Source organism: Homo sapiens, chromosome 6 (assembly GCF_000001405.40).
Source record: "Homo sapiens chromosome 6, GRCh38.p14 Primary Assembly".
Taxonomy (NCBI): Eukaryota; Metazoa; Chordata; class Mammalia; order Primates; family Hominidae; genus Homo; species Homo sapiens.
Genome location: NC_000006.12, coordinates 36,967,293 through 36,988,566, shown reverse-complemented (window position 1 = coordinate 36,988,566; position 21,274 = coordinate 36,967,293). Strand labels below are relative to the sequence as shown.

At 51.8% G+C, this 21,274-nt stretch overlaps 1 protein-coding gene across 5 annotated transcripts, besides 5 other annotated features; it reads left to right on the top strand.

The window, feature by feature from the left end:
* Positions 1,767–1,976: an enhancer, noted in NCBI's record as "active region_24447". NCBI's record gives its function as "activates an Ori minimal core promoter by ATAC-STARR-seq in GM12878 lymphoblastoid cells {active_cell/tissue: GM12878}" and the evidence as "EXISTENCE:reporter gene assay evidence [ECO:0000049][PMID:35858748]".
* Positions 2,016–20,432, top strand: MTCH1 (mitochondrial carrier 1). 5 transcript variants are annotated; one of them, NM_014341.2, is made up of 12 exons: positions 2,016–2,714; positions 6,895–6,979; positions 9,956–10,062; positions 10,412–10,489; positions 10,876–10,933; positions 11,317–11,368; positions 12,850–12,909; positions 15,771–15,864; positions 17,873–17,920; positions 18,094–18,161; positions 18,453–18,528; positions 19,593–20,432. In NM_014341.2, the coding sequence occupies exons 1-12, from the start codon at positions 2,394–2,396 to the stop codon at positions 19,662–19,664; spliced, it is 1,119 nt and encodes a 372-aa protein (NP_055156.1). In that variant the 5' UTR covers positions 2,016–2,393; the 3' UTR covers positions 19,665–20,432. The 5 variants fall into 5 exon arrangements, 4 of the variants coding, with proteins under 4 accessions (NP_055156.1, NP_001397828.1, NP_001397826.1 ...); NR_130739.2 differs by having other exon boundaries at positions 2,371–2,714; positions 10,783–10,933; positions 19,593–20,426; NM_001271641.2 differs by having other exon boundaries at positions 2,371–2,714; positions 15,771–15,915; positions 19,593–20,426.
* Positions 2,067–2,656: a silencer, noted in NCBI's record as "silent region_17123". NCBI's record gives its function as "represses an Ori minimal core promoter by ATAC-STARR-seq in GM12878 lymphoblastoid cells {active_cell/tissue: GM12878}" and the evidence as "EXISTENCE:reporter gene assay evidence [ECO:0000049][PMID:35858748]".
* Positions 2,067–2,817: a biological region, named in NCBI's record as "H3K27ac hESC enhancer GRCh37_chr6:36953526-36954248".
* Positions 2,095–2,817: an enhancer, noted in NCBI's record as "H3K27ac hESC enhancer chr6:36953526-36954248 (GRCh37/hg19 assembly coordinates)". NCBI's record gives its function as "activates a minimal SCP1, AML or CMV promoter by ChIP-STARR-seq in primed H9 embryonic stem cells {active_cell/tissue: H9 hESC(primed)}" and the evidence as "EXISTENCE:reporter gene assay evidence [ECO:0000049][PMID:30033119]".
* Positions 7,239–7,839: an enhancer, noted in NCBI's record as "H3K4me1 hESC enhancer chr6:36948504-36949104 (GRCh37/hg19 assembly coordinates)". NCBI's record gives its function as "activates a minimal SCP1, AML or CMV promoter by ChIP-STARR-seq in primed H9 embryonic stem cells {active_cell/tissue: H9 hESC(primed)}" and the evidence as "EXISTENCE:reporter gene assay evidence [ECO:0000049][PMID:30033119]".
* Positions 20,433–21,274: the final 842 nt, after the last annotated feature.

The following is a 21,274-nucleotide window of genomic DNA, read 5'->3' as shown; positions in this document are numbered from 1 at the left end:
ACCTCAGGTGATCCACCCGCCTCGGCCTCCCAAAGTGCTGAGATTACAGGTGTGAGCCACCGCGCCTGGCCAGAGCTAACTCCTTTATAGCTCTAAAGGTTTATTGCCAGGTTGCTCAGTAGCTTGACTGCTGAGGAAGATTTTCTTTCATTCAATCATTTCAGTGAGTATACTTTTCATTTCTAGATGTTCTGTTTGGCACCTTTTCAAATACACCTGTTTTTTTTTTTCCTTTACAATTCCTGTTCTTTTTACTAGTACTTCCTATTATTTATCTTTGCCTTCATTTGAAACCTACTTCTTTCCTTTTAATTTTCTTTGAGATGGTTCTATTATCTCAAGTTCTTCCTGTTTTGCCCATTCTCTCTCATGATGGCACGTTTCTTTGAGCGGCTCATACATTTTTTATTGTGAGGATTCTTTTTTTCTTCCTCTTGGAGTCTCTGTGAGCCCTGAGTTGTAGAAATACAGCTATTGTGCAGTTTAACATTTGCTTCTGCTTGGTACCCTACGGGTCTAACTGGTTTAGCTGATCTATTTTTCCTTCAATTTCTTCACTTGGAGAAATTGTTCGATCATTTAGAAATACTTTACTGAACATGTACTATGTGCATAGTCCTATATCTGATGTTGTGGAAGATACAAAACAATGCAAGACAACACAAAGTTGCTGCTTCACATGAAACTACAGTTTGAAAGGGCCAAATACAGTATAGGCCCAAAGTTAGGTGACCATGTAAGGCAGAGTAAAAGGCTCAACGGTGAACAGCCAAGTTCAGAAAGAAAAACAGACAGTTGGAGAAAAATGGGGACGAAAAGCCCAAAGAAGGAAAAGGTTCCTGTGAGGAAGTTTCAGAAGGATGGGGAAGTAAATCATCCTCCCCTACCCCCACCCCCCACCCCCAAACTAAAACCTATCGCCTCTTCTGGGTAGAGAGTTAGTGTGGCACTAGGAACTTGACTTTGAGGTCCTTATTGAGAAAGCTAAATCAGAACCTAGGCAAAAGGAAGTCATTTAAGGTGCTCCTGGGGGATGTTTGATGAAAATTGTGTTTGATGGAGAAAACACAGCAAGTTGAAAGGGTTAGCAGGCTTTGCAAGTGATTTCACTAGGACAAGCCTGGGTTAGGGAGGCCAAGGTGAGGGAGAGAGGGAGTGTGGCATGCTTTGAACGTGGAAAGTACATAGTGTTCATTATCAGGAGTGGGAAGAGGGGAGGTAGCTTTTTAGGGGGTAAGGCAGGAAGGGAGTTAGAAAGGACAGACTGGGAAACCCGGACTAACAGTGGCAGGTGTCGATCTAAAGAAATTTCTCACAATGAACTGGCTATAGACTAAGTACAGACAAAGGGACCAGGTCTTCCATTGCTGTGTCCCTGCACACTCTAGGATCCGTTCAAACAGAAACTTTTATTGCGAACCCCCAAAACTAGCACGGTTCTGTTGTAGGTGTTGTTGCAGAGTGTCGGGCACGTTTACAAACAGGAACAGGGCACTTGCTGTCCTATCTTCCTCGCAGGGTTCTTGTGACGATTACACTTAAATCAACACGTATAAAGCATTTTAAAAAGTGCCTGTCACATAGTCCCTGCAATTTAAGGTCTAGTTGTGATTATTCACTTGTATTAACTAAGAATCAACTACAGGCGCCTAGCAGTGCCTGCATGTGCTCACACTGAGGCACTCACTAAAACCCTCAGGATCTAGTGAGGGAGACAGTCAAATACTTTAGAGCAAAACAAATTTTACAACCACGGACTCTGAGGAAGGCGTGCGAAGGCTCCACAGCTGGGGAGGGTGCCCACAGTCGCCGAGGGGACATCTGGATTTGCTCTGGTTGGGAGAGCATTCCTGGCAGAGGAGATGGAAAATGCGATCGGACAAAGAGGCTGGGACCGCGGAGGGGATCGGGCTCGGGGTCGGGGCTCGTCCTGCAGCAGGAGATTCAGCTCGCGCAGAGTTCCACGCAGGCCGCGGCGACTGGGATCTGGGCCGCAAAGGGGCGGGCAGAGAACTGCAGAGAAAACTCCCGAAGCCAGGGAGGTGGCTTGGAAGCGCCTCAGACCATATTGGGGACGTCTGGCAGCCAGAGGCGCCGAACCCCGCCCCCGCGTGCTCTGGGCATCCCGGGGGAGCGCCCCGGCCTGCGGCTGCCGCCACAGCTCCCGAGCCCGGGGCCCCGGCTGCCCGCCACCATTGACCCCCGGCCCGCAGCCCAGTGTCCTGCTAGGCCTCCAACCGGCCGGGGAGCCACATCCGGCGTGTCCCACCCGCCGCACCACGCTCCCGAGCTCCCCCGCGGCCTGGAGTGGTGCGCCCCGGCCCCGCCCCCTGACGCCGGTGAGGGGGCGTGGCCCCGTCACGTGACGGGGAGTGACCTCGCCGCCGGGCGCCATGGGAGCTTCGGACCCGGAAGTGGCGCCCTGGGCTCGCGGCGGTGCCGCGGGGATGGCGGGAGCCGGAGCTGGAGCCGGAGCTCGCGGCGGAGCGGCGGCGGGGGTCGAGGCTCGAGCTCGCGATCCACCGCCCGCGCACCGCGCACATCCTCGCCACCCTCGGCCTGCGGCTCAGCCCTCGGCCCGCAGGATGGATGGCGGGTCAGGGGGCCTGGGGTCTGGGGACAACGCCCCGACCACTGAGGCTCTTTTCGTGGCACTGGGCGCGGGCGTGACGGCGCTCAGCCATCCCCTGCTCTACGTGAAGCTGCTCATCCAGGTGGGGGACCAGAGGCGCCGTAGGGAGATGGGAGGCTGATGTGAAGGTGACAGGCCAGGATTTGGAGGATTGGGGCGGGCAGTCAATGGCGACGGATTTGGGGAGAGGGGTGGGGACGGCGGGTTTGGGGGGCCGAGTGGGTGGGATGGGAGGGAAGCCGTGAGGGAGTTGGGAACGCAGGGGTCACGGGTTTTAGGATACAGAAAGGAGACCAAGGGGTTAGAGTAATAACAGATACGGGAGAGGGTGGAAGGAACAAGCGATTTGGGGGAGTGCCAAGGAGGGAGCGATGGGCTGGAAAAACATATTTGGGAGATAAAGGAGTGGGGACGATGGACTTGGGATAGGGAAGGGAGCGAATTTGGGGCGAGGGAAGAAGCAATAGAATTGGGGGAGGGGCAAGAAGTTTGGGTGAAGAGATGGGGAGGAAGGTTGGGGGCCCAGGCAAAGTGTTTAGAGAATGAGGAGCACATAATTGGGGTAGAGGGGAACGGAGGCTCTGGATTTGATAGAGATGGATTTAAAACGTCTTGGGGTGGGGACAAAGTGGGCGCCAGGGCCAGAAATTTAGGAGGGAAAGAAGGACACCAGACTGGGGGTGGACAGAGGAGACGGAGGTCTTGGGTTGCATTGTGATTTAATTTGGTGGGAGAGTGCGAAGGCAAAGACTTTTGCAGGGGAATGCTATCGGTTTACCGGAGATGGGGGCTCTGGATTTGATGGCGACGACGGATTTGGTAGGAGGAGGGGACAGGGTGACGCGTATGGGGGGAGGGGAACAGATAGGGCCAGCATTGGGGGAGGGGAGTGGCAGCGATTTGTCTAGAGAGGGGAGCTAGGAGGAGGCTTTAAGCGGGGAAGGGGGATGACGCATTTGGAGGAGGAAATGGAAGTCATAGTTGGGGTCAGAGAGAGGAATCACAGTGCTTGTATCTGGGCAGATGAGGAGAAGGGGCACGGGAGTATTGAAATTGGGCAGAAGGGACAGTGGAGACATAGGTGGCAGGATAGGTAGGGACTACCAGAAATTGAGACCGAGGTAGGGATGTCTCTGGAACAGAGGGATGCATAGGCACTTGGCAGATTTGGTGGTGGCCAGCAATGCGGTACAGATGAAGTGTGCTGCTTGAGGAGTGAGCTGGAATGAAGGGCGTGTGGAGGTGTGAGAATTAGGTGGGTGTGGCTGGGATGGGTACAGTTTTGATGGGGGTCATTAGGCCAGAATTTTCCAGTTAAGAAGCTTGGGGGGAGGAAGGTAAAAATTGAATTGGAGACCCATCCAAGATTTGAGTTGAGGCAGGTGGGTGTCAGATTTTACCATCTTTATAATTGAACCGAGAGAATGCAAAATACAACTGGAATGAGAAGGCCTTGAGAATGAGAGTAATTGAAATCTGGGATCCGAGGAATGGTAATAGATTTGTGGGTGTGACCAGGAATATGACAAGGAATGAGGAGATTCAGTCAGGGGCATCAAGGTGCCTGACTAGACCCTAATTGTGACAGATTTGAAAATTGTTGATGGCGGAAGGTGTAGACCAGACTGGCATTTGGTTGTGATTTGGGAATGAGGGCTGTCTTACAGGGTTAAGATTGTATTTACAGCAGTTGAACTTGAAGTTTGGGAGATAAATTGGTGCTTTGGACCTGAGAAGTGAGGGTTCTGGAAACTGATGGAATGAGACTGAGTGAGGGCTAGGATTTTAGGGCACAGGTGGGAGAGTCTGTGGAGTGAAGGATACTGGAGCACAAGGGCTCAGTGTGAGGGAAATGAAGAAGTGGCTTCATCATTTGGATGATGGCAGATCTGGTTTGAAAGAACATTGAAATGAGGGTGGTTTGGGAAGGGAATGGGGGAATGAAGGACACCAAAGCGTGAGAAGAACTAGATGGTGGGCAGGTAAGGATGGATGAGCCCTGTTGAAGGACCAGAGGTGCCTGTCTGATTTGAACCCAGCTGGTGTTGAGTGTAACATATATTAGGGTAAGATCTTCAATGGGTATAGTTTGGGAATCAGAGTAATAACTTGCAGAAAGGCAAATTACTGGGAGTGGGGGTGTCAGGAGTGGAGTGACAGATTTGGGGATTGTCTAGATTAGGTGCGTAAGAATGCAGTGCCTTAGATTAGTGCATGTGGCTGTCAGGTTTGGGAGTCGGAGATTTTAAGATGACAGACTGTCCCTGCTGGTATCTGATATAGGGCCACAGCATTTGCCGTAGTTAGGACTGGGTTAACAGATTTGAGGTTGAAATTGGGTTTAATGACTTGGGAACAAATAATTAAAACTTGAAGGCAGGAGGAATGGGGGTGAGATACAGCCAGTGTGCCTATGATAACCCAATAGAAGTTAAGAAAATAGATTCAACAGATTTGGGAGCCATGGGGATATGGGATAACGTTACAAATTTAAGTATGAAATTGGGGTCAGTGGGACTCCCAAATAGTGTTGACTAAACTGGATAAGGACAGCAAAAGAGCAGTTGTGGCGATTTGGAGTGGAGGAATAAAGGAATACCACCTGTATTTAAGAGAACACAGATCAAGACAAAACTTAATTCAGAACAACCTTGGAGCTTTTAACCCAGAAGGGAAAAGGTCTAGAAGGGAAGTACTCACTGCCTGGGTCAGCTGACTCACCCCTTTCCTCCTTTGCTCCACTGGGTCAAAATTTTTTTCTTTTAAAGACAGTCCCCATCATAGAGGAGTTTTTAAATTTACAATCATTAATCTGTTAGGCATCTCAGAATCAGATCCATAGGAGATAGCCTGAACTTTGAAAAGCACTTGCTTGATAAAGGCAAAAGGGGACAGGGTTGATCCCAAAAAGCACTGGAAGCATACCTAATCCAGTTTACAAGGTAGCGCTTTCTAACTTGCCACTTCTACTGCCTCCCACAGCTGCAGGCCAAATCCTCTCCCACATGTCAGAGGAATCGCTCTGGTCCATGGGCCCAGCTGGCCTGCTTAGAGGGCACAGGGCTGGTATCCTGGCCCCTTGCCAAGGGAGGAAGGAGCCTTCTCACTCCCCACCTAGGTGCTGGTCTCCTTGACACCTTGCCTCCTCCCTGGCAGCAGGGGCTCTCACCCCTCGACAGAGACTTCCTGCTCCTCACATGGATATGGATGGTCCTTCACCCACCCGCGGGTTTAATAAATATTTCAGGCTGGGCGCAGTGGCTCATGCCTGTAATCCCAGCACTTTGGGAGGCCGAGGCGGGTGGATCACCTGAGGTCGGGAGTTCGAGACCAGCCTGACCAACATGGAGAAACCCCGTCTCTACTAAAAATACAAAAAATTTGCCGGGTATGGTGGCGGGTGCTTGTATTCCCAGCTACTTGGGAGGCTGGGGTAGGAGAATCACTTGAACCCGGGAGGTGGAGGAGGTGGAGGTTGCGGTGAGCTGAGAGCACGCCATTGCACTCCATCCTGGGCAACAAGAGTGAAACTCCATCTCAAAAAAAAAAATAAATAAATAAATATTTCAGATATAAGAAGCATCTGTACAGCAAGAACTATCATAGCCCTACAGAAATGAGGGGGTCGTTTTGTCACAGGGATGTAGGGTGATTGAGGTGAGAACGCAGCTAAGGATATGTTTGAGGAGTAGCTGGAATTTGAGGTAACAGTTTGCTAAGCCTGGGAATGGGAGGAATAGACATGGAGGTGTCTGCAGTAGATTTGGTAAGAAATTTGAGTTTGGGGTGCACTTTGGAATAGATGACTTAATGGCTGACCTGTCTGAGGTTTGGGTATGATGTATTTTCTTATTGCCACATTTGGAATTGAGGTTGGAATGAAGTTTTTCATCTGGAGATGAGAATAACTGAGATTTGTTCTGAGATGGGAGTAGGGTTTGCAGTACATACAAATGGAGGTTTCTCTACTGGGAATATTTGGGATTTGAATGTAAGAATGTTGGGGTGTGGGTGTGACTTGGATTGTGGTTGGACAGTGTCTGGGACCAGGCATTTCTGTTGATTGGGAGTTTACGTGCTGCCAATGGTTAGAGACACTGACGAGCTTTCTGGTATGCTTTGATGGGGAAAACATGAACAAGAGCCACATTAGAATTTGTGGGAGAAGAGTTAAGCAAAGGGGGCAAGAGGTGTGAGGAGAGGTGGTGAGGCTGAATCACCACGAGACTCTGAGCGTCCCTTTGTCTTTGTTAATTCTGAAGGTGGGTCATGAGCCGATGCCCCCCACCCTTGGGACCAATGTGCTGGGGAGGAAGGTCCTCTATCTGCCGAGCTTCTTCACCTACGGTGAGTGTGCCTCCCAAGCAGGAAAGCCCACACCAACAGAAAAGAGGCCTCAGGTGGGGAGCAGGACCAGCTGGCCCCGGGGAACTCACTGCGCAGCATGGCACGCAGTCGAGCTGGCATGGAGGAGGGGATCTAAGCGTGTACAGAGAGGACATGGTGTCGGGGTGCGAGCAGGTGAACCATACAGCTTTGGTCCAGCTCCTCTGCCTGTAGCTGCCAGCTGCCAGCCCAGACAGCAGGAGGGGACAGACACAGGTGCCTGAGAGAGGAGCCAATCTAGGACACTGGTCCCTATTATTTCTGCTGCCCCGGGTTGTGCCTGGAACATGCGTGGGGGTGATTTCCTTTTGTCCTGTGAGCAGCCTGGCCCTGCTACTCCAGCAGGAGGCCCGGGGGGTCCTCTTGAGTTTTTTTCTTTTATCCCACCTGGGTGTCTTGTTTCCCCTGCATTCCTCAGGCAGTGAGTGGTGCTCACTCACTCTGGTGTCTCCATCTGTTGGTTACAGAATGGTGTGCAGTGAATTGCAGCTTCACTTCTGTGTGCTGCGTGAGTTTGGGTGGGCCACTTACCTGCTGTGGCCTGGCTGCACCCCTTGTCTGCAAAGTAAGGTCAGCTTCTCCTGCCCAGGCCTTCCTGCAAGCTCCCCAACTGTCATCAAGAAGCCCACCTTGCTGCCTCTGCTGCCCATCACCTGGCCCACAGGTGCCGTCTGGCCAGGGCCTTTTCATGTTCACCCTCACTGTCCCTCTCCCAGTCCCTACCCTCACCAGATGACCATGATGAAGGCCTTCTTTAAATGTGCCCTTTTTCTCCGTGTTCACAGCTGGAGTTCCATTGCAGGCAAATCCCCTCCAGTTTCCTGCACCTCTGCTCTTACCTGTTTGGTTGTCTAGAATATTCTCCAGAATCTATCTTTCTGTTGAGTAACTTGGGGCTTGGCCTCTGTCTTACCTTTTCCATTTCACATGCTGTTGGCAGAATTGGGTGTCATATTTCTCTTCCAGTTTTGTCCCTGTGTTGTTGAGTGCAGAGTCTAGGGCCAGGTGGAATGTGTCATCTTGTGAGGAAATGTGTTTGTGTTGTTTTTTACTTAAAAATTGTCAGCGTAGTGGAGAGGGGAATGACAGAAGTAGGAAGGCACCCCACCATTGTGTAGTGAGGCAGTATACAGAGAGGTAAGGCAGCCGGGGCAGATGGCTGCGGCCCTGCACGGGGCTTTTTCTGGATCTGGTTGCACGTGCTGTGTTCTGAGAGGCGAGGTTAGAGCCCAGATCATCTCTATTCATGTGACACAGCCATTCCCAAAAGGACTTAGAGCAGAGGGAACTTGACCCCCATCTTAACTGTCTCTTTTGAGGATGAGCAGAGTTCTCAGGTGTGCCCCCAGCCTGGTTTATATAAATGTAGCTTTAATCTAGGTGTGAGCAGATGTCTGTTGGGGATCTCTGGACACCAGGCCTACTCTGGAGTCAGAGAGGGGACCCGCCATTTGGCTCTCTGGTACAGTGTGGACAGTGTCTGCTCCTCTACTTGTCATGGCTGAAAGTACTGCAGCTGTCATGACATTCTCTGGTGTAGAAGAAAGAACTTCCCAGAGGGTTTCCTGGCACTGCAGAAAGACCCAGAATGAGGGAGGCCCTGGGACCCACAGAGGCCCCTGCAGGCATTTCAGCACGCCTCCCTCCGCTCTCACTTGTTCCTCAGTTCTCTCAGAAATGGAGAGAAATGACGGTCCTTATTCCTTCTTTTTTTACAGGTGGGCAGATGGAAGAGGGTCGATGTTTTGCTCAGGATCACAAACAGAGGTCCTGAGGCTCCCTCTCCTCACTAGGATCCACCCTCCCCCAAAGCAAATTTTCCTTTTGCCTGTTCACTCTGTGAAGAGGGCTCCTTGCCAAGTCACCCAGCATCCCCTCCCCTCCTCCTCCTCTCCTTCCAGCCCACCCTCATCTCAGGCAATCACATATACAGGTAACAGGTGTTCTCAGCCTCATGAAAAACCCATGCTAGCTGTGACATTGAATTGCTGGGCTGGCAGACATCTGCGGAGGAGCAAAAGGCATATTTGCTTCTTCCTGCCTCTGCGCGGTGCCAGAGAGCTAAAGTCATGGTCTAACAGGGGGAGCATGCTGTCTGAGAGAATGTTCTGCTAGCTTCCAGATGCACAGGTTTATAAAAATACCACCCTGCCATTTAAAACATGTTTAAAATGTTGATAGAAAACAATGAATCGTATCCTTAGAAAGACAGACCCTAGTGAAAGAAACACTAACTCACACAGGTAGGGTCTAGCTTCCATAACATTTAAGTTTATTCTATGGAATTGTTCATTGGTGCTCCTGTTTTAGTTACTTCTCCATAGACTTGTTTTTCCCTTGACTAATCAATGCCATCTGGTGCCAGGTGGTATCCTGGGTGTAGCACAGTGACAGGGTGGAGACTGCCCTGGCCGTGGCATGTGCAGGGGGCGTTCTTGAGCCTGTCTTCTGGGAGCCCTTTCTTTTCCTTTTTCCCTCCTTTAGGTTGAAGACTTCATCATTCCCTGCGGGCAGTTTCTCTGTTTTTCCTATTTTCTTTTCCTCAAGAAAAATGTAATTTTTAAGTAACAGAATTGTTTTCTGTGTTGCAGCATTTAAGTTGCTGAGTTGAGAAATCATGGCTGAGTTTGCCAAGTAAAGTTTTTAAAGCAAAAAAAAAAAAAAAAAAAAAAAGGAGGGAGGGAGGGAAGGAAGGAAGAAAATATATGAACTTGTTTGTCAGAAATACATTTTGAGGCTTTTACTAAAAGAAATGGGCTAGAAGACATTTGGGGGTTAGGGCCTGACTGCTTCCAGGTCCTGGACAGATGTTACCTTCTGTGCCTGTAGTCAGCAGTTACCTGAAGGACAAGCCGAGCCTGGTCTGGGTGTGTGTGACCCAGGAGTGGGTGCCCCTGAACTGGGTGTGACTCCTCTGCCACCTCTGTTTTCTTACAGCCAAGTACATCGTGCAAGTGGATGGTAAGATAGGGCTGTTCCGAGGCCTGAGTCCCCGGCTGATGTCCAACGCCCTCTCTACTGTGACTCGGGGTAGCATGAAGAAGGTGAGCCCACACAAAGCCAGGAACAGTCGCCCGAGGTTTCCTCATACTCCCAGCCACCCCTGCAGCAGCCAGTTACCCTGGTCTTGCCTCCTCCTTCCCAGACCATTGGGGGCTTCACTCCAGCCCCATGGGGGAGCTCCCACCCCACAGTTCTGCTTTCCCACAGCTGTGACACCAGATAGTGGCTTTCTTTTCCCCCCAAGCTCCAGACCTGGAGGTTACCTGAGGTGGGCCCAGCCAATAGACACTGCAGAGGAAATATTTGGAGCTGGTTCCTGCCGCCCAAGTCCCCGAAGAGTTCCATGGAAGAGGCGTAGCTGAACTTGGTTCTTTCCCTTCTCTGTTTCAGGTTTTCCCTCCAGATGAGATTGAGCAGGTTTCCAACAAGGATGATATGAAGACTTCCCTGAAGAAAGTTGTGAAGGAGGTGGGTGTTGAGAGTTGGAGAGGGAGAGGTGCGTGGAGGGGAGCCTGATGATTTCTCACCCCCAAGTTGGGCGGGTCATTGACAAGTCGAAGAGTTGGGTCCTTGTGTATGCATGGGTGGGATGGTAAGGGAAGAAGCCCTGGCCTGGATGTGCCGGGAACCCCGGAAAGCCTTCTCAGCCATTGTTGGGCCTAGCCTGGGACCCGACAGCACTCCTGGGTGGGGGACTGGGGAGTGGGCAACAGGTGGAGCCATCCTTGGCAGACCGACCCCATGTGCAGTCCCTGGGACAGGTTTCTCCCTCCTGAGCACTTGTAGCTCCCCTCGAGGGCCAGTTCCAGAGACAGGCCGAGGGTGGCGAGTCCCCACCCCATGCTCTCTTCCAGACCTCCTACGAGATGATGATGCAGTGTGTGTCCCGCATGTTGGCCCACCCCCTGCATGGTAAGCCACCCCCCTTCCCCCGAGACTGTATCTAAGCTGGCGTCGGGGGCGTGGGGTGAGGGGCGCCCCCTCGTGGACTGTACATAGACAGCCGTAGACCTGTTGGGAAGTGGTAGTGGGGTTGGGGGTATTCTACTGGAACCCACCTCACTGAGGAGAGATTGGAATTCTTTCCAAAGGGAGGTGGGGCTCTTCCCAGGCAGTAGAAATGGCATGCTGTGGTCATGGGGTGTAACAGGGAATCCGAAAGGCCCTCTTCCTCTCCTGCTCTCTGAATAGGCCACGTTGTTCAGTGGCCACTCTGCACCTGGCACCCGGTGGCTGGAGCATTATGAAGTGTGGCCCACCACATCACCTGTGTGTGTTTTCTTTTTTTTCCTCAGTCATCTCAATGCGCTGCATGGTCCAGTTTGTGGGACGGGAGGCCAAGTACAGGTGGGTAACTCTTGGGACTGGCAGAGTGGCCCTGTTACCCTTTCAGAGTCGGCCAGGGCAGGCCGTGCTGGGATTGGTTGCTGCACCTTTTCTGCCCTAGTGCTGTGTGAGTTCAGCCTGCTGCCTGGCTTCTGAGGAATGTGGCAGTGGCTTCAATAGTCTGTCCAGGGTCATTTTCTCTTCGTCATCTCTTATCAAGGGCAGCCCTAGATGAGCCTAGATGCCTTTGCAGAGGGGTGAGTGGGATTGTAGTCAGCTTGGATTAGGATTTCTGGCCCCAGAGCTGATTCTGCCACTTAGGACTGAGCTGGGGTCTCCTTTTGGACTCCCGAAGTAATGCTCTAACGATTTTTCCGGCCCTCATAGGCTGATAGCTCTTTTTATCCCCTATGAAGAAGCCATCCACCCCATGGGCTTGGGGCTCATCCCTTCCATTGTGTACCAGACCCTCACCTAGATCTGCTGCGTGCAGCCCTGGGTAGGTGCCAGGGGCATATGTGTTGACACGGAGGTGGGTCTTGGAGGCATGTGTGAAGGACACACCTGGGTTGCCCTTCCTCTCTTAAGATTCTCATTTCCTGGGGTCGGTGTTTTTTGCAGCTGTCCTGCGGGGCCACCATCCCAGGAAGCTCAGCTGCCATGGTGCCTCATTTTGGGGTCATTAATGGGAAATTGGCCCATTCCCCTAGACTGATTATGAGGTTGGTAGTTGGGACCAGAAGGGTATAATCTGGCCACCACTGTTCTGAGTGGTGGGGCCGGGCCTGGCAGGGCTGGGATGATCTGGGACCGGGGCTACCCAGGGCTTTGCCTTCCACTGGCTCCCTCTGTTAGTAGGTTGTTATTGAGCTTCCTTGGCATTTCACACCCAAGAACCCACAGCCTGTCCTCTCATCCAGCTTGTCCTCTCATCTCTAACAGGGTGCAGTGGCCAGGGCATGAGTCCCCGGCTCCCTGCTGAGGAGTGCCAGATGTCTTCTCCTAGGCTGGTTCCAGTGCCTCCTCCTGCAGGGCCCTGTATTCTTTCTCTGCCCTCTGGGAAAGTACTTCTCTTTGCTTACTACCCCCTCCTACTCTTACTCTTGGGCGGGCCTGTGGGCTCCTCTGCTAGAGGGTTGTTTAACCAGAGATAAGTGTGAGGGCCGGGTAAGAGAAGGGCCTGCCGCCTCTGCAGCAGTGGCCCAAGTTAGGAGATGCATTCCTAAACTCCTATCTCCCAGAAAACACCAGTAGAGGACTGCTAGTGGGCTGCTCCCATGGGTGGTTGGGCTTCCCCAGTCTCCATGAACTGTGTAAACTCCTCCTCACCCTGAACAAGCGCTCTTTGCCTTTCTACTTGGTTCTTCATGGTAATAGTCCTCCCCATCCCTGCCAGGACTGGCTGGATTTGAGCAGAACTGGTGGGCTCAGCCCCACACCAACGGGTGGGCTTCTGGTAGGTGACTGCATGACCCTGTATCTCTGTCTTGCCTTCTTCACAGTGGTGTGCTGAGCTCCATTGGGAAGATTTTCAAAGAGGAAGGGCTGCTGGGATTCTTCGTGTACGTGAGTTTATACACCCCATAACTGGCCACGGGCATGGCTCTGCTAACAGGTGTGTCCTCAACCTCTCAGACCGCAGCTGCTGGCCTGGGACTTCACTACATGGCCCTGCCCTAGCCTGAGTGCTGCAGCCAGCTCTCCAGAGCTCCATAGCGTGTCCAAGCTGCTTAGCCCTTTTCAGGCCATGGCTCATGTAAAAGTGGAACTGTGTGTCTAGTACATGGGGGAGATGAACTGACCAGCCCCACTGGGCCTCATCCAGTTGTGGTGGGTGTGGGGCTGGTCTTCATGAGCTAAGTCACTGCATAGTCCTTGGCCTCACTGCTAAAACATGACTGAAAATCTGACTTGGACTGAGGGTGGAGCTCTGGAAGCTCACAGGCTGACCACAGCCAGTGGATTCTGTTTGACATTGCTTTTCTGACAAATTAGTTGTTGCCGTTAACATTTAAGATATGTTGCACAAAAATCCACATGTCTGGCATCTCTTGAAAAGCCAGAAAATCTTGTCCTGCTGAGCGGTTCTTTCTGTAGAGCATCCATCGGCCAGGACCCAGGACCTGCTTCTTTGGCAGGGCACATGGTCTCCGAGGGCCGCAGACACCCTGTACTTCGTCACGTCACATCCAGTGTACTTCACCTCTAAAGAAAGCACATACTGAAAAGACTAAGTTCAGAAAGAATAAGGTGCAGACAGAAGCCAGGCTTGATGAGTTGTATTTTGATTTGCCGTTTTAAGGTCTAGGCAGTGACATACATGCTGATAAGTATGTCACAAACGTGGTAGACACATGGTATACAACAGTATCCGCTGTACTAGATACAGGGCTCCATATTATTCATAAGAAGTCTTTATATCATGGTTTTCCGGTTTGTGAGATGTTTTTTATTTATGGCCCCTTGTTTAACCAATTAGTGACTACTTGTAGGTGCATGTGTGTGTATATGATATAGAAATATATATACGGTTCTCAGCAGGAGGTGATTTTGCTCCCCGGGGAACATCGGCAGTGTCCGGAGACATCTTGTGGTTGTCACAACTGGCATCTAGTGGGTAGAGGCCAGAGACGCTGCTAAACATCCTACAGTACACAGGACAGCCCCGCAACAAAGACTTATTCAGTCAGGTGTCGTTGCTTGCATCTGTGATCCCAGTTAGTTGGGATTAGTCTCAGTGGTTTCTGCAGCTGTCAGGAGACCAAGGCGGGAGGATTACTTGAGGCCAGGAGTTCAAGACCAGCCTGAGCAACATAGTGAGACTTCTGTCTCTACAAAAATGTTTTTAAAAATTAGTTGGCCGTGGCGGCATGCACCTGTAGTCCTAGCTACCCGGGAGGCTGAGGTGGGAGGATGGCTTGAGCCCAGGAGTTGGAGACTGCAGTGAGCTATGATTGCACCACTGCACTCCAGCCTGGGTGATAGAGTGAGACCCTGTCTCTTGGGGAAAAAAAAAATTATTCAGCCCAAAATGTCAATAGTGCCAAGGTTGAGAAACTCTGATTTATATTCACACACACACATATATGTATGTGTAAGTATTTATACATACATATATTTGCACATGTACCTGGTAACAAACCAACATTTGTGACATACCTATCAGCATGTATGTCACCGCCTAGACCTTAAAACAGCAAGTCAAAAAACAACTCATCAAGCCTGGCTTCTGGGTTCTGTCTGTGCTTTATTCTTTCTGAACATAGTCTTTTCAGTATGTGCTTTCTTTAGAGGTGAAGTAAGTTGGATGTGAGGTGACAAAGTGCAGGGCATCTGTGGCCCTCAGGGACCATGTGCCCTGCCAAAGGGGCAGCCCCGGGACCCCAGCCAATGGCTGCTCTACAGAAACAGCCACCCATCTTGAAACACTGCACATGACCACCTCTGGCATTTTTCACACTGCGTAGTTCTCTTCTGGTGTTTGAATAGGATTCCCGCACAACAGATGCCTACTCTTTGGGTTCTTTCTCCCCATGTGATTTTGGAACAGGTGATACTCATACATGTTACAGTGCATAGAAAGCACCAAAGGGTATAGCACAAAGTCAATCTGAGCACAGGCAGGGACGACAAGATTAGAAATTGCATTCACAGAGGTTCCTTTTATTAATACTCTTCATAGATGTATTACATATATTCTTTTGAGTTTTTCAAATATAAGATTTTTTTTTTTAATTCAAAAACAAAAATTCTGCTTCTCCTCCCAGGAGACAGCCATCCTTCTCCTGGCGAGCCTCCCAGGGCACTCTGTACCTAAACAAGCAAACACATTGTAAAAAACACAAGAGGCACATGGGACTCACTGACCTCAAACTGGCCTTTTGCCCTCAGCACTGCATCTTGGGGAACCTTCCTTAGCAGTTTATAGAGCTGTTTATCCTAAAGGCCATCACTTAAAAAGTTAGCCCTCCTTGTAAATGCTTGCATAGAATCTTTTTGATAGAATATTTTCAGGGGCAAAGAGAACAGATGCATTGAGCAGTGTGTCTTCTGAGAGTTGGTTAGGTAAAGAGGCCAGGAGAAAATTACCAACACGTCGGCACTCTTATTATCTGCATTTGGAAATTCCAAATTTGGCAGTATTCACATCTTGATCCCTGGCTTCTGTGGTTTGAAAACTGCTTGAGACTATTAGCTAATTTATGGCATCCAAAGCGGCATAGAACACCTCCCCATGGGAAAAGGAGCACTATCTTCCCAGTGTGCATAGCTGCTGGACCCTGCAGGCCTCCTTTCTAAGGCTGTGCCATTGGATATGCTAAGATTTTGAGCTCGGAACATCCCTGCCTGCTTCCTGGGTGTGGAGCCCCCAGGAACTGCTCCTCTCCCTCTCCTGCTCATCTCTGCTTACCTTGTTTTTTAGTGGATTAATCCCTCACCTCCTGGGCGATGTGGTTTTCTTGTGGGGCTGTAACCTGCTGGCCCACTTCATCAATGCCTACCTGGTGGATGACAGCGTGAGTGACACCCCAGGGGGGCTGGGAAACGACCAGAATCCAGGTTCCCAGGTTGGTTGGAACAAGGACTTGTCCTTCTTTCCGTGTGCTGCTGATGCCCAGGGTCTGGGACAAACTCAAGGATTCTGGGATTCTCAGCATCAGGCCGGGAGGGTGAGAGAGGACCTCTCATTATCCCTGGAGTCATCTTTGTCTAAGGGGAGAACGGCCTCAAGAGGCGAGATTCCAGATTAGTACCCAGACCTGGGAGGAATTAATGGAATGCTTGTCCCTGGGCGCCTTAGAAACAGACCCCAGCTTATCTAAGGCTGCTCCGAGGCAGTGACCCAACTAGGGCTCAGGAAGTCAGAAGATAGACCAGCTAATAGTGATCACCTCTTGACCTTTGTGTCACGTCTTTTGCTTTTTAAAACCCTTTTGTGAACGTTATGGCCTTTGATCTGACGGCATCCTAGTTGTGAAGGGAACAGGGCAGGTATAATGTTCGTTTACCAATACAGAAATCGAGACCCAGAGATCACAAATTCTGGAGAGGCTCTGGGCTCTCCAGAGTCACTCAGCTGGAACTGACAGGGCTGGAATTAGATCCCTGGCCAGGCCAAGGGTGCATTCCTCTGAGTTTTTTCAGATCTGCTAGGAAGTGTACAGTCCGATACACCCTCCTATTTTGTTAGCTGTGGTCTACACAGCCTAGTATACATAGACCTTTCAGCAGGTCGGGTCAGGCATAGGAAGGCCTGGTCCTTCTACACAGCACTTGTTGAGGAAGGCCATCCAGGTACCTGAGGGGTTGACTGGTTCTGCCTGAACCAAGATAAGAGGTAGGGAGCAGCGATGGCTGGGAATTGCAGTGTCCAGACATTCTCACAGTGGGGATCACCTTCAAGAAGGATGGCATTCCTTCTTGAAGTGGCTTTCCCTCCCAGGAGGCTAGGAGGGCCTGGGGACGTGTCTGCCAGAATCACCTGGGTGGGAAGGGGGTCATGTTCAGCATGTGTGTGTGTGTGGTACATGTCTGTTCTGTGTGGTGAGGAGTGCCCCATCCCAGATGGGAGCCTCTGCTTGCAGGGAGACTGGCCACTTGACCTGGGCAGGTGAGTCTTCACTGGCCTTTCGATGTAAGCAAATTAAAGTGGCTCCATAGAGACCCACCCCATCTGCAATCACAGTGGTACATTCCTGCAGTTCTGCCCCTTCTCGGGGGGCCTTGTGGGTGGGTAAGCTGCTGCTGTCACATACAGAGCAAGGGTGGCCAGGAGTGCACCGCTAAGTGGTTTCTCATCTAGGTGGGCAGCTGTCTGACCAGAGGCTGCCGTGCTTACATCAGCAACAACAGCAGTCAACAGATTTGTCTAAAGTGTTTTTCGAGTGCTTTTCTGTATGTGGCTTAAAGGCCGAGGTGAGGCTGCCGGGCTGTCAAAGCCACTCAAGCAGACATCTGAGCAAATCTCTGACCAAGAACCCAGGCCATCGATCTGGTGGGATGGCCGCTCCACAGGAAGCTGAGGGTGGGGGAGTCACCTTTCCTCACTAGGAGCTGTTTGCTTCAGCAAAGCAGGATTTGAGGAGTTGGGGTCTGAAGGGGGAAAAGCTTGCTGAGGTGGAGGTGGCGATAAGCCTGGACTTGCCCTCACCTCACCCCACAGGCCAGGATTCGTCTTTGGGTTTCAGGGTGCATGTCTGTCTTAGCACTGACTGCGTGCCAAGCCCTGGATGTTGATCAGGCAGACACGGGCTCAGCCCTTGAGGCTCACAGTCCGGTGGGTTGCACAGGCAGCGGCAGCTGATCCCTCTTACCGGGTCTCCTTCTCGGGACTCCCTTCAGTCCACTTACCCCGTTTCTGCCCCCCAGGCCTTCTCTGGGCAGTGACTGTGAGGGCTGACAGGAAAGGCATGTGCAGCGTGCTTGTGAGGAGCTCAGCACAGAGGGTGGGGTGAGGGCATGTGTTGCTGAAGTCTGCATCCTGAGGTGCCTGTGGCAAACCACTCTTCCCTTCTGTCTCCTCAGTTCAGCCAGGCCCTGGCCATCCGGAGCTATACCAAGTTCGTGATGGGGGTAAGTTGTGCCAGCTGTCCTTCCTTCCCACTGCCTTGCGGACCCAAGCGGGGCCTAGGAGGCCAACCCTGGTAATGGCTGGAGGCAGGTCTTGGTACAGGGTGTTGGCGTGGTGTGTCCCTGCTCCCTGGGCCGGGGTGGGTCACTGGCACTCAGGCCTCTCTGGGTTTCAGATTGCAGTGAGCATGCTGACCTACCCCTTCCTGCTAGTTGGCGACCTCATGGCTGTGAACAACTGCGGGTAGGTGTGCGCCCCTCTACTTGCCACTCTACCTACCAAGGCTGTGGGGTGGGGGAGACCCACCGAGCCCTTCCAGCACTCTGCCCCCTCCCACCTGCTCTGTGTGTAGGCTTGGCCTGCCAGGCACCCTGGCTTCCGCTGGGATTTCCCAGCACCCCCTGGGGTAAACTGTGGTGTCAGGGGTCAGGGTGTGGATGGGTGGTAGCCTGAAGGCATTCCTTCTTGAAGTGGCTTTCCCGTGGCTGGCTGTCTTCCACTGTTCTCTGCATCTACACTCTCCTTCTCCGGCAGGCTGCAAGCTGGGCTCCCCCCTTACTCCCCAGTGTTCAAATCCTGGATTCACTGCTGGAAGTACCTGAGTGTGCAGGTGAGCAAGCACTGGACGGCGGAGGCCTTTCCTGTTCTTTGCTACATCCTTCAGCTGAAATGGTTTTGTGGATGCTTCATTGCATGCAAAGATAAGTGGTTTCATGGAATTCAATATTGTGAGGAGATACTTGGTATCTATAAGGCATTTAAGTTTTCATCTTACATAATTTCAGAAAGGATTTGAGGTGGCTAAGTGTGGGTTTATTTTAAGATTATACATCAGACAAGACCTTTTCTTCTTTGAGTCTTAAAGACTCTTAGGATAAGGATAAGAGAACTCTGGCCCAGGTGGCAGGTGGTAAAGCCCAAGAACTGCTTCTCCTTCAAGTAACATGGGCTGAAAATTCGAGGTCTGTAACCAGTTGAGCTGAGTTCCTGGGTTGTTAGGGCGGCTGGCATTGGAAACCGACTCCTCCCTCCTGCAGGACATTCCTGGGCCCAGGAGAGCCTGTGGGTGGGGCTGGGCCACGTGGGGAACTGGCAGCAGTACCAACCTTGGGTTCTCGTGTTCTGTACCGAAGCTACCTCTCCGTAGCTGGAGCTCTTGGGCCCAGCAGTCAGGGGTCCAGGCTTTGGCCGAGGGCAGAACCTTGCCTTTTCCTGGCCTTGATTTGCCTCGCAGTGAAATGGGGCAGTGGCCCGGAGGGAGCCAGAACTCTGAGTGGCCTCGAGGCTGAGAAGAGGACAGATGGGAGGGAAGCAGGGAGGAGAGCCGCAGTTCTTCCCAGTGGCCCTGGTCAGCGTGAGTGTGTCTCGTCCTCCCTATGAGCACTGAAAGAGTCCTAGACCACTTGGGCTCTGAAGCAAGAGGGGCAATGAGCCTCCTCTCTAGGGCTCTCCTACAGAGTAGCCCCAAAGACACCCCTGGGCAGGAAATGAACCGCTCCCTTCTGCTTCAACACAGGCAGATTCTGCCCTCCAGGGATGTAGGCCGAGGCCGTCCACCCCGGAGCTGGGTCTTTGAGCTCCTGGACCCTTCTTTGCCTGACACTGGCCTTCCTCTCGGAGGGACAAGGAAGCGTGGCCTCCCTTTCACTCACCTTACTTTTCCTTCTGGTCCAGGGCCAGCTCTTCCGAGGCTCCAGCCTGCTTTTCCGCCGGGTGTCATCAGGATCATGCTTTGCCCTGGAGTAACCTGAATCATCTAAAAAACACGGTCTCAACCTGGCCACCGTGGGTGAGGCCTGACCACCTTGGGACACCTGCAAGACGACTCCAACCCAACAACAACCAGATGTGCTCCAGCCCAGCCGGGCTTCAGTTCCATATTTGCCATGTGTCTGTCCAGATGTGGGGTTGAGCGGGGGTGGGGCTGCACCCAGTGGATTGGGTCACCCGGCAGACCTAGGGAAGGTGAGGCGAGGTGGGGAGTTGGCAGAATCCCCATACCTCGCAGATTTGCTGAGTCTGTCTTGTGCAGAGGGCCAGAGAATGGCTTATGGGGGCCCAGGTTGGATGGGGAAAGGCTAATGGGGTCAGACCCCACCCCGTCTACCCCTCCAGTCAGCCCAGCGCCCATCCTGCAGCTCAGCTGGGAGCATCATTCTCCTGCTTTGTACATAGGGTGTGGTCCCCTGGCACGTGGCCACCATCATGTCTAGGCCTATGCTAGGAGGCAAATGGCCAGGCTCTGCCTGTGTTTTTCTCAACACTACTTTTCTGATATGAGGGCAGCACCTGCCTCTGAATGGGAAATCATGCAACTACTCAGAATGTGTCCTCCTCATCTAATGCTCATCTGTTTAATGGTGATGCCTCGCGTACAGGATCTGGTTACCTGTGCAGTTGTGAATACCCAGAGGTTGGGCAGATCAGTGTCTCTAGTCCTACCCAGTTTTAAAGTTCATGGTAAGATTTGACCTCATCTCCCGCAAATAAATGTATTGGTGATTTGGAGTTTTTTGTGGGGCGTCTCTTATTTTTGTAAGTTTAAAAATCTATCTATAGAGTCTATCTTTCCAAGTCCTTCCTGTTGGTGTGAGAAGGGGCTGTAAAGAGGCAGGGCAGGGGGCTGCCAGATTGGAGATGTAGGTACCAGAGCTTGGTGTAGCTCAGTCTCCAGGGAGACACTGGGTGATGAGGCTGGGGTGTCAGTTTCCACAGCAGCAATCAGTGTGCAGGTCTGTTGCCAGGGAGACAGGCCTTTCAGAAAGTGTTCCACTCACACCCCTTACTGTCATATCTCAGCACCATTTGAGGATAACGTAGCTTCAAGTTTTACGAAGAGTCACTTGGTGTAGTGGCCATGGTTACATCAGAACGGGCAGACCTCCCTTCCATCAAATGGTTTTTGCCCAGCACTGGAGTCTGTAAGCAGACAAAACTTACAAATATTTTGAGACTCAGCTGGGTTCCCCCAGGTATTTCTCTGCCCTTGCTCGAGGTGACCTGGCTTGTGAGAGTTGGGGTCTGGTGGGTTTGGTCATATTTCCCTCCACAGGTAGGGGCTGAGTCACCCCCGCCAAAGGGAAGGCCCCTGTGTTGCTTGTGCACAAGTGGGTGTTCCCAGTGGCCTAGTAACAGTGGACTCACAGGCAGTTTCACCTCACATGTCCTTGTTTCCCAGGAACGCAGAAGTGTGCCTGTGTGGGTATTATGTAACTACACTGGTTGAGGCCACTAAGGTCTCATAACTTTGTCACCCATATTAACTTTCCTAGGGAAACACCCAAGAGGGCTAAGGTAGTGGGAAGAACACATGCAGGGGTGGGCAGGGCAGGCCTGTAGAGAAGGAGGGCCTCGGG

Excerpts from the sequence above, each read along its gene's own strand:
- MTCH1 (NM_001410897.1), top strand. The coding sequence starts at position 2,394 with ATGGGAGCTTCGGACCCGGAAGTGGCGCCCTGGGCTCGCGGCGGTGCC. Across the intron at positions 6,980-9,955 it reads GCCGAGCTTCTTCACCTACG|CCAAGTACATCGTGCAAGTG; the intron begins GTGAGTGTGCCT and ends GTTTTCTTACAG. Across the intron at positions 12,910-15,770 it reads GGGCTGCTGGGATTCTTCGT|TGGATTAATCCCTCACCTCC; the intron begins GTACGTGAGTTT and ends CTTGTTTTTTAG.